Source organism: Homo sapiens, chromosome 19, assembly GCF_000001405.40.
Source record: "Homo sapiens chromosome 19, GRCh38.p14 Primary Assembly".
Taxonomy (NCBI): Eukaryota; Metazoa; Chordata; class Mammalia; order Primates; family Hominidae; genus Homo; species Homo sapiens.
The window spans coordinates 36,195,668-36,209,092 of NC_000019.10; the positions used below are offsets into that span (position 1 = coordinate 36,195,668).

The window sequence follows — 13,425 nt, forward strand, 5'->3', positions numbered from 1 at the left end:
CCGAATAGCTGGGACCATAGGCGCGTGCCACTGTGCCCGGCTAATTTTTTGTATTTTTAGTAGAGAAGGGGTTTCATCATGTTGGTCAGGCTGGTCTCGATCTCCTGACCTCATGATCTGCACGCCTCAGCCTCCCAAAGTGCTGGGATTACATGCGTGAGCCCCGTGCCCAGCCCACCTGACCCATTTTAAATGAGGTTAAAATTGATGAGTAGGGTCAGGTTTTGACAAGCTAATTTATCCAGGAAATATCTTAATGAGAAGATGAAGAATTTTTTTTTTTTTTTGAGACAGAGTCTCGCTCTGTCACCCAGGTTGGAGTGCAGTGGCACGATCTTGGCTCACTGCAACCTCTTCCTCCTGGGTTCAAGCAATTCTTCTGCTTCAGCCTCCTGAGTAGCTGGGATTACAGGTGTGCGCCGCCACACTTGGCTAATTTTTATATTTTTAGTAGAGATGGGGTTTCACCATGTTAGTCAATCTTGAACTCCTGACCTCATGATACGCCCGCCTTGGCCTCCCAAAGTGTTGGGATGACAGGCGTGAGTCACTGCACCCAGCCTAATTTTGATTTTTAATATTTTGTTTGGTAGAGACAGAATCTCACTATGTTACCCAGGCTGGCCTCAAACTCCTGGTCTTAAGTGATCCTCCTGCCTCAGCCTCCCAAAGCACTGGGATTACAGGCCTGAGCCACTGCACTCGGCCAAGGACATTGGAGGAGATGAAGAAGGGTACTGGAGGAAGGAGGTAATGAAGCATGACAGAATCTACAGCTGCAGGCCTGTGGCATGAAGGAAGTATAATAAGCACAGTTATATGACTAGAGGTCTATATATTCTTGAGCATTCCTGTGGCTACACATAAACTATCTGCAGACAGCAGGACACTTCTATCTTCCATGGTCTGGGAATGATCAGGAAAGAGCTAAGTGGGGTCCCATAAATAAGCGAAATAGTGAAATACACAAAACACACAGCAAACCTGGGCCTGGCAAATCTAATGTCTTTCAAAAATGAGTCCAGGCTGGGCGTGGTGGCTTATGCCTGTAATCCCAGCACTTTGGGAGGCTGAGACGGGTTGATCACTTGAGGCCAGGAGTTCAAGACCAGCCTGCCAGCTGGGCACGGTGGTAATTCCAGCACTTTGGGAGGCTGAGGTGGGTGAATCACCTGAGGTCAGGAGTTCGAGAACAGCCTGGCCAACATGGCGAAATCCTGTCTCTACTAAATACAAAAAATTAGCTGCGCGTGGTGGCAGGTGCCTGTAATCCAGGTACTTGAGGGGCTGAGGCAGGAGAATTGCTTGAACCTGGGAGGCAGAGGTTGCAGTGTGCTGATTTGTGCCACCACACTCTAGCCTGGGCAACAAGAGTGAAACTCTGTTTAAAAAAAAAAAAAGAAGTCCAGCCTGGTCAACATGGCAAAACCCTGTCTCTACTAAAACTACAAAAAATTAGCCAGGCGTGGTAGTGCACACCTGTAATCCCAGCTACTTGGGAGGCTGAGGCAAGATAATAACTTGATCCCCGGAGGCAGAGGTTGCAGTGAGCTGAGATTGTGCTACTGCACTCCAGCCTGGGTGACAGAGCGAGACTCTGTCTCAAAAAAAACAAACAAACAACAACAACAACAACAAAACCCCCAAAAAAGAAATTAGCTGGGCATGATGGTGCGTGCCTGTAGTCCCAGCTACTAGGGAGGCTGAGGCAGGAGAATCGCTTGAACCCGCGAGGTGGAGGTTGCAGTGAGCTGAGATTGCGCCACTGCACTCCAGCCTGGGCGACAGAGCAAGACCCCATCTCAAAAACAATATAAATAAATAAATAAGAATGAAAGAAGGAAGAGAGAAGGAAGTTAGAAAGGAGGGCAGGCAGGCAGGCAGAAAGACAGAGACTGTTATTGGTTGCATAATATCGTATGTTATGTCTTGTAAGATACGTCGATTCCATTATTTTCGTGCACTTAGCTTAATTAAGATGTGTATGTTAAAGTGGCTTATATCTAAAAGAGAGGCAATAACAAATGCTAGTGAAGACGTGAACAGAAGGGAACCCTTGTACACTTTGTTGGGAATGTAAATCAGTAAAATCACTATGCAGAACAACTTGGAGGTTCCTCAAAAAACTAAAAATGGAGCTACCTTGTGGACCAGCGATACCACTGCTGGGTATCTACCCAAAAGAAAGGAAATCAGTAGGCCAGGCGTGGTGGCTCACGCCTGTAATCTCAGCACTTTGGGAGGCCAAGGCAGGCAGATCACCTGAGGTCAAGAGTTCGAGACCAGCCTGGCCAACATGGTGAAACCCCACTTCTACTAAAAATACAAAAAATTAGCTGGGCATGGTAGCGTGCGCCTGTAATCCCAGCTACTTGGGAGGCTGAGGCAGGAGAATCGCTTGAACCCAGGAGGCAGAGGTTGCACCACTGCCGGCATGGGCAACAAGAATGAAATTCCGTTTAAAAAAAAAAAAGAAAGAAAGAAAGGAAATCAGTATATCGAAGAGATATCTGCACTCCATGTTTGCTGCAGCACTGTCCACAATAGCCAAGATTTGGAATCAACCCAAGTGTCTGTCAACAGATGAATGGATAAAGAAAATGTGGTACATATACACAATAGAGTACTATTTAGCCACAAAAAGAATGAGATCTGGTCATCTGCAACATGAATGGAACTGGAGGTTATTATGCTGCATGAAGTAAGCCAGGCACAGAGAGACAAACTGCATGTTCTCACTTATTTGTGGATCTAAAAATCAAAACAATTCAACTCATGGTCATAGAGAGTAGAAGGATGATTACTGAAGGCTGGGAAGGGTAGAGGGAGGCTGAGTGGGAGGTGGGGATGGTTAATGGGTACAAAAAATAGAAAGAATAAGACCTACTATTTGATAGCACAACAGGGTGACTATAGTCAATAAGAACTTAATTGTACATTTTTTTTTTTTGAGATGGAGTTTTGCTTTGTCATCCAGGCTGGAGTGCAGTGGCATGATCTCGGCTCACTGCAACCTCTGCTCTGGGATTCAAGTCATTCTCCTGCCTCAGTCTCCAGAGTAGCTGGGATTATAGGTGCCCACCACCACGCCCAGCTAATTTTTGTATTTTTTAGTAGAGATGGGGTTTCCTCATGTTGGCCAGGCTGGTCTTGAACTCCTGATCTCAAGTGATCCACCTGCCTTGGCCTCCCAAAGTGCTGGGATTACAGGCGTGAGCCACCATGCCCAGCCTAAATGTACATTTTAAAATAAAGAGTGTAACTGGATTGTTTATAACTCAAAGGATAAATGCTTGAGGGGTTGGATACCCCATTCTTCATGATGTGCTTATTTCACACTGCATGCCTGTATCACAACATCTCATGTACTCCATAAATATATATACCATGTACTGACAAAAATTAAAAATTAAAAAAATTTAAAAACACAAGATGTGTAAAATCTTCAGGGTTTATTATACGCTTGCTAATATTCACATTCCTTCACTGTCCACTTTTCCTTGCTCCTGAAACCAGAAAGCTGATGGAGGGTATACCTGAGTTACATAAATGTGGCCCACAACCAACACATATGTTCAACCTCAAAATGGACCATTTTATGGTTATTCATCTCATACATATCCTTGCAAGACTGAAGAGTGTTCCGTCACTGAAGTTCCCAATCACAGCCCCCTTCCTAAAGGTCTCACAAAACAGATGTTACCACATACAGAGACCAACACCAATCACTACAACTCCTACCATGTCTATGTGGAGAGAGAAGGCTGTGGGCTTCTATTGCAAACACCCTGATAATGGGTAAAACATAACACCCTTTTAAATGAATTTCTTTCTTTCTCTTTTTTTTTTTTTTTTTTTGAGACAGGGTCTAAGTCTGTCGCCCAGGCTGCAGTGCAGTGGCATGATCTCGGCTCACTGCACTTCTGCCTCCCAGGCTCAAGAGATTCTCCTGTCTGAGCCTCCTGAGTAGCTGGGACTACAGGTGGCATGCCACTGCACCTGGCTAACTTTCGTATATACATATCTTTTGTAGAGAGAGGGTTTTCCCATGTTGTGCAGGCTGGTCTTGTACTCCTGAGCTCAGGTAATTCACCTGCCTTGGCCTCCCAAAGTGCTGGGATTACAGGTGTGAGCCACCATGCCTAACTTTGTGTTTTAAAATTTAAATTTAAATTTTTGTTTGTAGAGACGGGGTCTCACCCCAGCTGGTCTTGAACTCCTGGTCTCAAGCGATCCTCCTACCTCAGCCTCCCAAAGTGCTGAAATTACAGGGTGAGCCACTGGGCCTGGCCAGAACTTTTCTTAATGATGGTTATATCTATCAACATTTTCCCACCTTAGAAATTAAAAGAAAGAAATATAATTTTTTTTTTTTTGAGACAGAGTCTCATTCTATCAGCCAGTCTGGAGTACAGTGATGCAATCTTGGCTCACTGCAACCTCTGCCTCCCAGGTTCAAGCGATTCTCGTGCCTCAGTCTCCTGAGCAGCTGGAATTATAGACATGCGCCATCATGCCCGGCTAATTTTTGTATTTTCAGTACAGACAGAGTTTCATCATGTTGGTCAGGCTGGTCTCGAACTCCTGACCTCAGGTGATCTGTCTGCCTCAGCCTCCCAAAGTGCTGGGATTACAGGTATCAGACAATGCATCCAGCCGAGAAATTTTAAAAATATTTTAACAACAAATAAACCTGTTACCTGTTAATATCAGTAACATACATTTTATGAAACATAACTCTATTGTCAAAATCAAAAAATTTAGTGGCATTGTTTTACATTTTTGTAAATATCTTTAATGACTGGCCAACTAAAAGAAAGTTGGATTTTTTTTTTTTTTGAGATGGAGTCTCACTCTGTCACCCAGGCTGGAGTGCAGTGGCGTAATCTCGGCTCACTGCAACCTCTGCCTCCTAGGTTCAAGCGATTCTCCTGCCTCAGCCTCCCGAGTAGCTGGGACTATAGACACCTGCCACTGCACCCAGCTAATTTCTGTATTTTTAGTAGAGACGGGGTTTCACCATGTTGGCCAGGATGGTTTTGATCTCTTGACCTCGTGATCCACCCGCCTCAGCCTCCCAAAGTGCTGGGATTACAGGCAGGAGCCACCACACCCAGCATATATATATATTTTCTGAGACAGAGTCTCGCTGTGTCGCCCAAGCCGGAGTGCAGTGGCGTGATCTCTGCTTATGACAACCTCGGCCTCCTAGGTTAAAGTGATTCTCCTACCTCAGCCTCTCAAGTAGCTGCGATTATAGGCACCCACCACCACTGCACCCAGCCATATAAATATATATATATTTGACGGTATTAAGTGTCTTGTGACTTTTTAAAGAGGGGGTGACATTTAAAAATAGAATAAAGAATAAAGCAGTGGCTCATGCCTGTAATCCCAGTACTAGGAGGCTAACCAATTGAGCCCCGGAGTTTGAGACCAGTCTGGGCAACACAGTGAGACCTGGTCTCTACAAAAACTTAAAAAATTAGCTGGTAGTGGTGGCATGTGGCTCTGGTCCTAGCTACTTGGGAGGCTGAGGTGGGAGGATTGCTTAAGCCCAGGAGGTTGAGGCTGCAGTGAGCCATGACTGCACCACTGTGCTCCAGTCTGGGTGACAGAGCGAGACCCTGTCTCAAAAAACGAAACAAAACAAAAACACAGAAGAAAGAAACCACCCAAGACAATGGAAAAGATGAAACTACTTTATTTCATGTTTGGCCCCATTCAACCACAGTTATGATAAGGGAGACTCTCATATTTCTCTCAAGAGAAGGTATTTCTACTGTACTGGTGCTCTGCTAAGAGCATTTATTTATTTATTTATTTAGACAGAGTCTCGCTCTGTCTCCCAGGGTGGAGTGCAGTGGGGAAATCTTGGCTTCCTACAACCTCCATCTCCTGGGTTCAAACGATTCTCCTGCCTCAGCCTCCTGAGTAGCTGGGACTACAGGTGTGTGGTACCATGCCCGGCTAATTTTTGTATTTTTAGTAGAGACGGGGTTTCACCATGTTGTCCAGGCTGGTCTCGAACTCCTGGCCTCAAGCAATCGGCCCACCTCAGCCTCCTAAAGTGCTGAGATTACAGGCATGTGCCACTACGCCTAGCCTATGCTCTGCTAAGAGGACTACAGACACGTGGACAGTGCTGGAGAGGAGAGGGCCACCGAGGGACTTGGGCACCATTACTCATCTCCTGGAATGGACCAACTGTGAGAAGGATACAGGGAAGTTCCAGGATAAAGAACACAGTGTCCATATAATCTGGCGGGAAGACAGATCATTCTAAGGATAGAAGGAATTTCAACATACCTGGGCCATGGCTTTTAGAACTATTTGACCTGCTCTGATTTCTCTGGATTCTTCTCTTGGACAAGTGCAGAGTCCTGAAAAAGCAAAATGGGGGGAGATGGGGTAACCTCTGATAAACTGAGCTTGCCTCAGCACTCCCAAATAGATGAGCTTAAAAGAATTGTACTTCCAATGTCTCGGATCTGCTTCTCCCACCTCTCCATGTCCTACCACACAAGAACTAACATTAAGAACTACAGAGTTGGCCAGGCATGGTGGCTCACGCCTGTAAACCCAGCACCTTGGGAGGCTGAGGCACAAGAATTGCTTAAACCTGAAAGGTAGAGGTTGCAGTGAGCCGAGACTGCACCACTGCCCTCCAGCCTGGGCGACAGAGCGAGACTCGATCTCAAAACACACAAACAAAAAACAAAACAACAACAACAACAACAAAAAAAAACTGCAGAGTTAAGAAAACCCAGTCCCTTCCTAAAAAGTAAGGAACCCAAAAGCAGAAAGATGGTTTCAAGGCAGATGTGCTCCAGCACTGACACAGAACCCAGGCACCACCAAGGGAGGGATTACAGCTGACACAGTCCCCCATCTTAGTGATGCTAAACTTGGCCCTAGATGGGGCCTAGAAGGCTCCCACCTGCTCCAAATTACAGCAAGGATCTTACGACTCAGACTCACTCACTTGACCCCTAAGGATGAGGACAGCACCATCAGGCTAGGAACACAGACCATCTATGCAGGCCAAATCTTGAGTAAAAGACATCCCTAAACGAAGTCTTCTAGCTTCTCTGGGCTCAACAGGCAAAACCTCCTGGGCATCTCACTGGCTCCACTTCCTCCTTCCAAGTCCAAAATGGGACTACACCATGCATACCATAGGCTCTGTCAATGTCTCCAGCCCCAGCTATACTCACCAGACAGGAGCAAGAAAGCCTCAGTAATACAGGCATCTTGCTTGCATACCCGCACATCCAGAGTACTGCCCTCCATGGGAACTCAATTTCTAGAAGTCTCTTGGCCCAGCACTCTTTATTTCTCATCTGAGCCCTCCCTACTGCTTTCATTCTTTTTTAAAACTAGACAGCTGGGCACGGTGGCTCACACCTGTAATCCCAGCACTTTGGGAGGCCAAGGCAGGTGGATCACCTGAGGTCGGGAGTTCGAGACCAGCCTAATCAACATGGAGAAACCCCGTCTCAACTAAAAGTACAAAAAATTAGCGGGGCGTGGTGGCGCATTCCTGTAATCCCAGCTACTCGGGAGGCTGAGGCAGGAGAATCGCTTGAACCCGGGAGGCAGAGGTTGTGGTGAGCCGAGATCGCACCATTGCACTCCAGCCTGGGCAATAAAAACAAAACTCTGTCTCAAAAAAAAAAAAAAAAAAAGACAAGTACAGTAGTGAGAAGAGGGGGAAGAATAGAACAAGGAGTTCAATTCATAACTGACTGTGAACAATCAATGGAGATAACTCACTACCTTCCGACCATCTACTGCTTTTCTGCAGAACATCACTTCCCCATTGACTGTGAGGCTGGCAGTTGCTGAGTCCGAAGTCCTGTGAATGGCATACATCTCAAGGGAATGAGAAATCAGAGTTTTAAGGAGGGTTCTTTTTTTCCTTTTGAGACAGGGTCTCACTCTGTTGCCCAGGCTGGAGTGCAGAGGTGTGATCTCAGCTCACCGCAACCTCTGTCTCCCAGGTTCAAGTGATTCTCCCGCCTCAACCTCACAAGTAGCTAGGAGTACAGGCGCACACCACTACGCCTGGCTGATTTTTTGTATTTTTAGTAGAGACGCGGTTTCACCATGTTGGCCAGGCTGGTCTTGAGCTCCTCACCTCAGGTGATCCGCCCACCTTGGCCTCCCAAAGTGTTGGGGTTAGCAGGGTATGAGCTACTGTGCCTGGCCTAACAAGGGTATTAAATCTGATCTAATTAGAGGTCCAAGAAGCTTCCTGTAGGGGGTGTGTCAAAAGAAATACTTTTTTTTTTTTTTTTGAAATGGGGTTTCACTCTGTCACCAAGGCTGGAGTGCAGTGGCACAATCTCGGATCACTGCAACCTCTGCCTCCCATACTCAAGCGATCCTTCCACCTCGGCCTCCCAAGTAGCTAGGACCATAGGCATGCACCACCACGCCTGGCTAATTTTTGCATTTTTGGTACAGATTGGGTTTTGCCATGTTGGCCAGGCTGGTCTTGAACTCCTGAGCTCAACTGATCTGCCCACCTCGGCCTCCGAAAGTGCTGGGATTACAGGTGTGAGCCACCGAGCCCAGCTAAGGAAGACTAACTTAATGAATGGGAATGGTGTCAAGAAAACTTTTCTGTAAAATGTAGAATAGGAATTGGGTTCTGAAACCTCAGGGAAGTTTAATAGGCAGAAAAGGGACAGAGAATATTGTGAGCAGAGTGAAATGCAGTGGCAAAAACACTGGACTGAAAGCAAATGGTGTATTTGGGAGACTAAGAATGATTTGGAATGAGTTGTGTAGTTTGAAGAAAGGTCTAGACCAGTGCTGTCCAAATAATGTTCTGTGATGATGGAAATCTTCAAATCTGTGCTATAAATATTGTAGTCATAGATGGCTATTGAGCATATGAAATGTGGCTAGTATGTCTGAGAAACTAAAGTTTTTATTTTATTTTAATTAATTTAATTTAAATTTAATTAGCTCTAGAATCTAGAGGCAGATAATGCTGGAGATGACATCAGGGGTTAGAAAATGAAGGTGTATAGGCCAGGTGTGGTGGCTCACGCCTGTCATCCCACCACTTTGGGAGGCCGAGGTGGGCTGATCACCTGAGGTCAGGAGTTTGAGACCAGCCTGGCCAACATGGTGAAACCCTGTCTCTACTAAAAATACAAAAATTAGCCAGGCACGGTGGTGCGTGCCGGTATCCAGCTACTTGGGAGGCTGAGATGGGAGAACTGCTTGAACCTGGGAGGCGGAGGTTGCAGTGAGCCAAGATCACACCACTCCACTCCAGCCTGGGCCACAGAGTGAGATTCTGTCTCAAAAAAACAGAAAAGAAAATGAAGATGTATGAATGAAAAAACCATGAGGGCAAGGACCAGTGGGTCTGATCATCACTCTAACCATCACTCTTGCCACAGTGTCTGGAGGACATAGGTGACCAATAAATACAGGCTGATGCATAAAAGTTAGGTTCTTTGGGAAGCTGAGGTGTGTCGTTCGCTTAAGCTCAGGAATTTGAAACCACCCTGGGTAACATAGTGAGCCCTCATCTCTATTTTTTAAAAAAGGTAGGTTTTCAGCCGGGCACGGTGCCCACGCCTGTAATCCCAGCACTTTGGGAGGCCGAGGCAGGCGGATTACCTGAAATCAGGAGTTTGAGACCAGCCTGGCCAACATGGTGAAACTGCATCTCTACTAAAAATACAAAAATTAGCTGGCATGGTGGGGGGCGCTTATAATCCCAGCTACTCAGGAGGTTGAGGCAGGGAGAATTGCTTGAACTCAGGAGGCAGAGGTTGCGGTGAGCCGAGATGGCACCATTGCACTCCAGCCTGGGGAACAGAGTGAGACTCTCTCTCCAAAACAAAAAAGAAAGAAAAAGTAGGTTTTCACTTATTAATGAAATGGAAGGAAACCTAAGAATTTAAAGACAGAAGTGACAGGACCAATATGGCCAGGTTATTTTGGAGAGGTGTAACCTTGGAGTCAGAAAGATTGACTGAGAGGTACTTGTACTTTTCAGATGTAGGGGTGGGTTGCCCCTACACTTTTTCAGGCACGAAGAGGGCCTGACCCAGGACATTGGCAGCAGAAAAGAGGAGGAGAGAGATGAATTCAAAATGTAGATGAGATTAAATCAACAGGCTCTGGCATCTGACACATATGGAGGCAGAGAAAAGGAAGTCAGAATTCTTTCATATTTACTGGGCTCCTGTGTCAACTGGCACTGTTCTAGGAACGAGGAAAGAAAATAATTCAAGTCCCTGTCCCAGTTGATCTCACATTCTGTTTTTTTTTTTTTCTTTTTTTTGAGACAAAATCTTGCTCTGTCACCGAGGCTGGAGTGCACTGACGAGCTCTCGGCTCACTGCAACTTCCACCTCCTGGGTTCAAGCAATTATTTTGCCTCAGCCTCCCAAGTAGCTGGAATTACAAGCGTGCACCATCATGCTCTGCTAATGTTTGTAACTTTTGTAGAGACGGGGACTCGTCATGTTGGCCAGGCTGGTCTTCAACTCCTGCCTCAAGTGATATCCCCACTTCAGCCTCCCAAAGTGCTGGGATTACAGGTGTGGGCCATTGTGTCTGGCTGGACCTCACATCCTATGGGAAGAGACAACCAACAAACACTGACATACGGAGATAGATGGGATTGAGGGCTGGGCACAGTAGCTCACTCCTGTCATCTCAGCACTTTGAGGGACCAAGGCAGGAGGATAACTTGAGGTCAGCAGCTCAAGACCAGCCTGGGCAGCAAAGTAAGACCCCCATCTCTACAAAAAATTTGAAGAAAAAAAAAAGAAAAAAGATGAGATGTGAGTATTTAGGGTGGTATGGCCATAGACATGATATTGATATTCCTAATTATATGTCAGGTGGGGCCAGGCACAGTGGCTCATGCCTGTGATCCCAGCACTTTGGGAGGGCGAGGCACGCGGATCACTTGAGGTCAGAAGTTCTAGACCAGCCTGGCCAACATGGTGAAATGCCGTCTCTACTAAAAATACAAAAAATTAGCTGGGTGTGGTGGCGCATGCCTGTAATCCCAGCTACTCAGGAGGCTGAGGTGAGAGAATCACTTGAACCCAGGAGGAAGAGGTTGTAGTGAGTTGATATTGTGCCACTGCACTCCAGCCTGGGCAACAAAGACTCTGTCACAAACAACAACAATAACAACATATGTATATATAGATGTCAGGTGGCAAATGTCCTACAGATAAAAACAAAGAAGATTAAGGGGAGAGGGAGTTTTGGAGGAAGAGAGGGTGGTCTGAGAAGGTGACAGGTAAGCACAGCCTGAATGGATGAGTGAGAAATGCAGGTATCTGGGGAAGTGCACGCCTTGCACCAGGAGCGGCAATTGCAAGGGTCTGAAGGCAGGAGCAGGCTTTCCTCGATCAACAAGAGGAAGGAGACAAGGGCAGCTGGGATGGAACATGCGAGACGAAGAGGGTCAGAGAGAGAGCTAGAAGCCAGATCACAAGGAGCTTGTAAGCCACTGTAAGAACTTTGGATTTTATTCTTAAGGAAAACAGGAAGGTACGAAACTTTTAAAGCCAAGGAATGGCATAATCTGATTTATATTTAAAAGGGGCGGGGCACAGTGGCTCACGCCTGTAATCCTGGCACTTTGGAAGATCAAGGTGGGCGGATCACCTGAGGCCAGGAGTTAGAGACCAGCCTGGTCAACAGAAGCCCTGTTTCTACTAAAAATACAAAAGTTAGCTGCGTATGGTGGTGAGCACCTGTAATCCTATTTACTCGGGAGGCTGAGGCATGAGAATTGTTTGAAGCCAGGAGGCGGAGGTTGCGGTGAGCCAAGATTGTGCCACTGACACCAGCCTGGGTGACAGAGTGAGACTCCATCTCAAACAAAAAAAAAAATACATAACAAACAAACAACAAAACAAACAAACAACAACAAAAAGAAAAGAAAAGAAAAGAAATGGGTCTTAGCCAGTGTGGAAGACATTACTATGTTTCACCATTATCCAGTTTGGGGCACACAGAAAATGACATTTTCCAGCCCCTTGCACTTAGGTAGGGCCATGCACTGCTCTAGCCAATGAAATCTCAGCTGAGGTGATGACTGTCACTTCAGTTAGAGACAGACACCAGAAAGACTGCACAATTCTCCAATTTTTCTCTTCATGCATGTGGTGACCATCTGTTTTTCAAATGATGCAGCTAAAGGTGGCGGGCCTTCTTTGGTGTGGAACCCTGTCTCTGCTGATCCACACTGGACATGTACATGAGCAGAAATAAAATGTGACTCTGTAAGCCACTGAGATTCAGGGGTTGTTTGCCACCACAGCATAACTTAGCCTGTCCTAACCAGTACACAAATTAGGCCATACTTTGACTAGATAAAAATTCAGACTCAGACGCTTGGTCAATATGAGAAAGAGCAATTTTTAAAAAGAGGAAGCTTCAGAAATAAGAGCAGAGCTGTCCGATTCCAGCTCTATATGTCTCAAAGGGATTTTTCACAAACCCATAATGTGAAACAAAATGTGAATTATGAGTTACAGGACAATTTTTTTTTTTTTTTTTGGCAGGGCAGGGACAGGATCTCACTCTCACCCAGGCTGGAGGGCAGTGGCGCAATCACAGCTTCAGCCTCCTGGGCTAAGGTGATTCTCCCACTTCAGCCTCCCAAGTAGCTGAGACCACAGGCATGCCACTACACCTGGCTAATTTTAAAATTTTTTGTAAAGACAGGGTCTCAATATGTTGCCCAGTCTGGTCTTGAACTCCTGGCCTTAAATGATCCTCCCACTTCAGCCTCCTAAAATGCTGGGATTGCAGGTGTGAGCCACTGTGCCCAGCCAACAAGTTGATTCTGACCCAGCAAAACCATGCTGTTTTAGAGCTCCAACATCAAAACTTTGTACAAATCCTTCTGGAAAGTTGAGCTATCTCTACACCACCTAGTAAAACTTGAAGCTACGTGCCTAAATGTTCCCCATCTCTGCAATTCACAGACATTCTTTAGGGCCTGGGATCCCACATCACAAGGGCCTAGGCTCAGGGGCTGAGATAAGTTGGCCAAGTTATGGGAGCTAGACAGGTACAGGAATCTCCATCTTAACCTTAGTAATCTCTTCCTGAAAAAGCAATCACTCTGAGTAAAAACTCTAACAAAAGCCTTTTTCCCAATGTTTTTATTATTTATTTTTTTGAGGTAGGGTCTAATTCTGTCACTCAGGCTGCAGTGCAGTGGCATGATCACAGCTCATTGCAACCTTGACCTCCCAGACTCAAGAGATTCTCCTACCTCAGCCTCCCAAATAGCTGGGACTACAGGTGTGCATCACCACGTCTGGCTAGTTTTTAATTTTTTGTAGAGATGGGGTTTCGTCATATTGCCCAGGCTGGTCTCAAACTCCTGGGCTCAAACAATTTTCCCACCTCGACCTCCCA

At 46.1% G+C, this 13,425-nt stretch overlaps 1 protein-coding gene across 8 annotated transcripts in view; it reads right to left on the reverse strand.

Annotated features, from left to right (window-relative positions):
* The window catches only part of ZNF565 (zinc finger protein 565), a 63,869-nt gene that overhangs the window by 13,608 nt on the left and 36,836 nt on the right, over positions 1-13,425 (reverse strand). For 5 of the 8 annotated variants that reach the window (NM_001042474.2, XM_011526512.3, NM_152477.5 and 2 more), the window contains one exon: positions 6,310-6,383. The exons of 2 other annotated variants lie outside the window; for them this stretch is intronic. In NM_001042474.2, the coding sequence (NP_001035939.1) occupies positions 6,310-6,318 (9 nt within the window). In that variant the 5' untranslated portion in view covers positions 6,319-6,383. Of the gene's footprint in view, positions 1-6,309; positions 6,384-7,779; positions 7,906-13,425 lie in introns of those variants that run through there. One more of the 8 variants, XM_011526514.3, reaches the window with a different exon arrangement.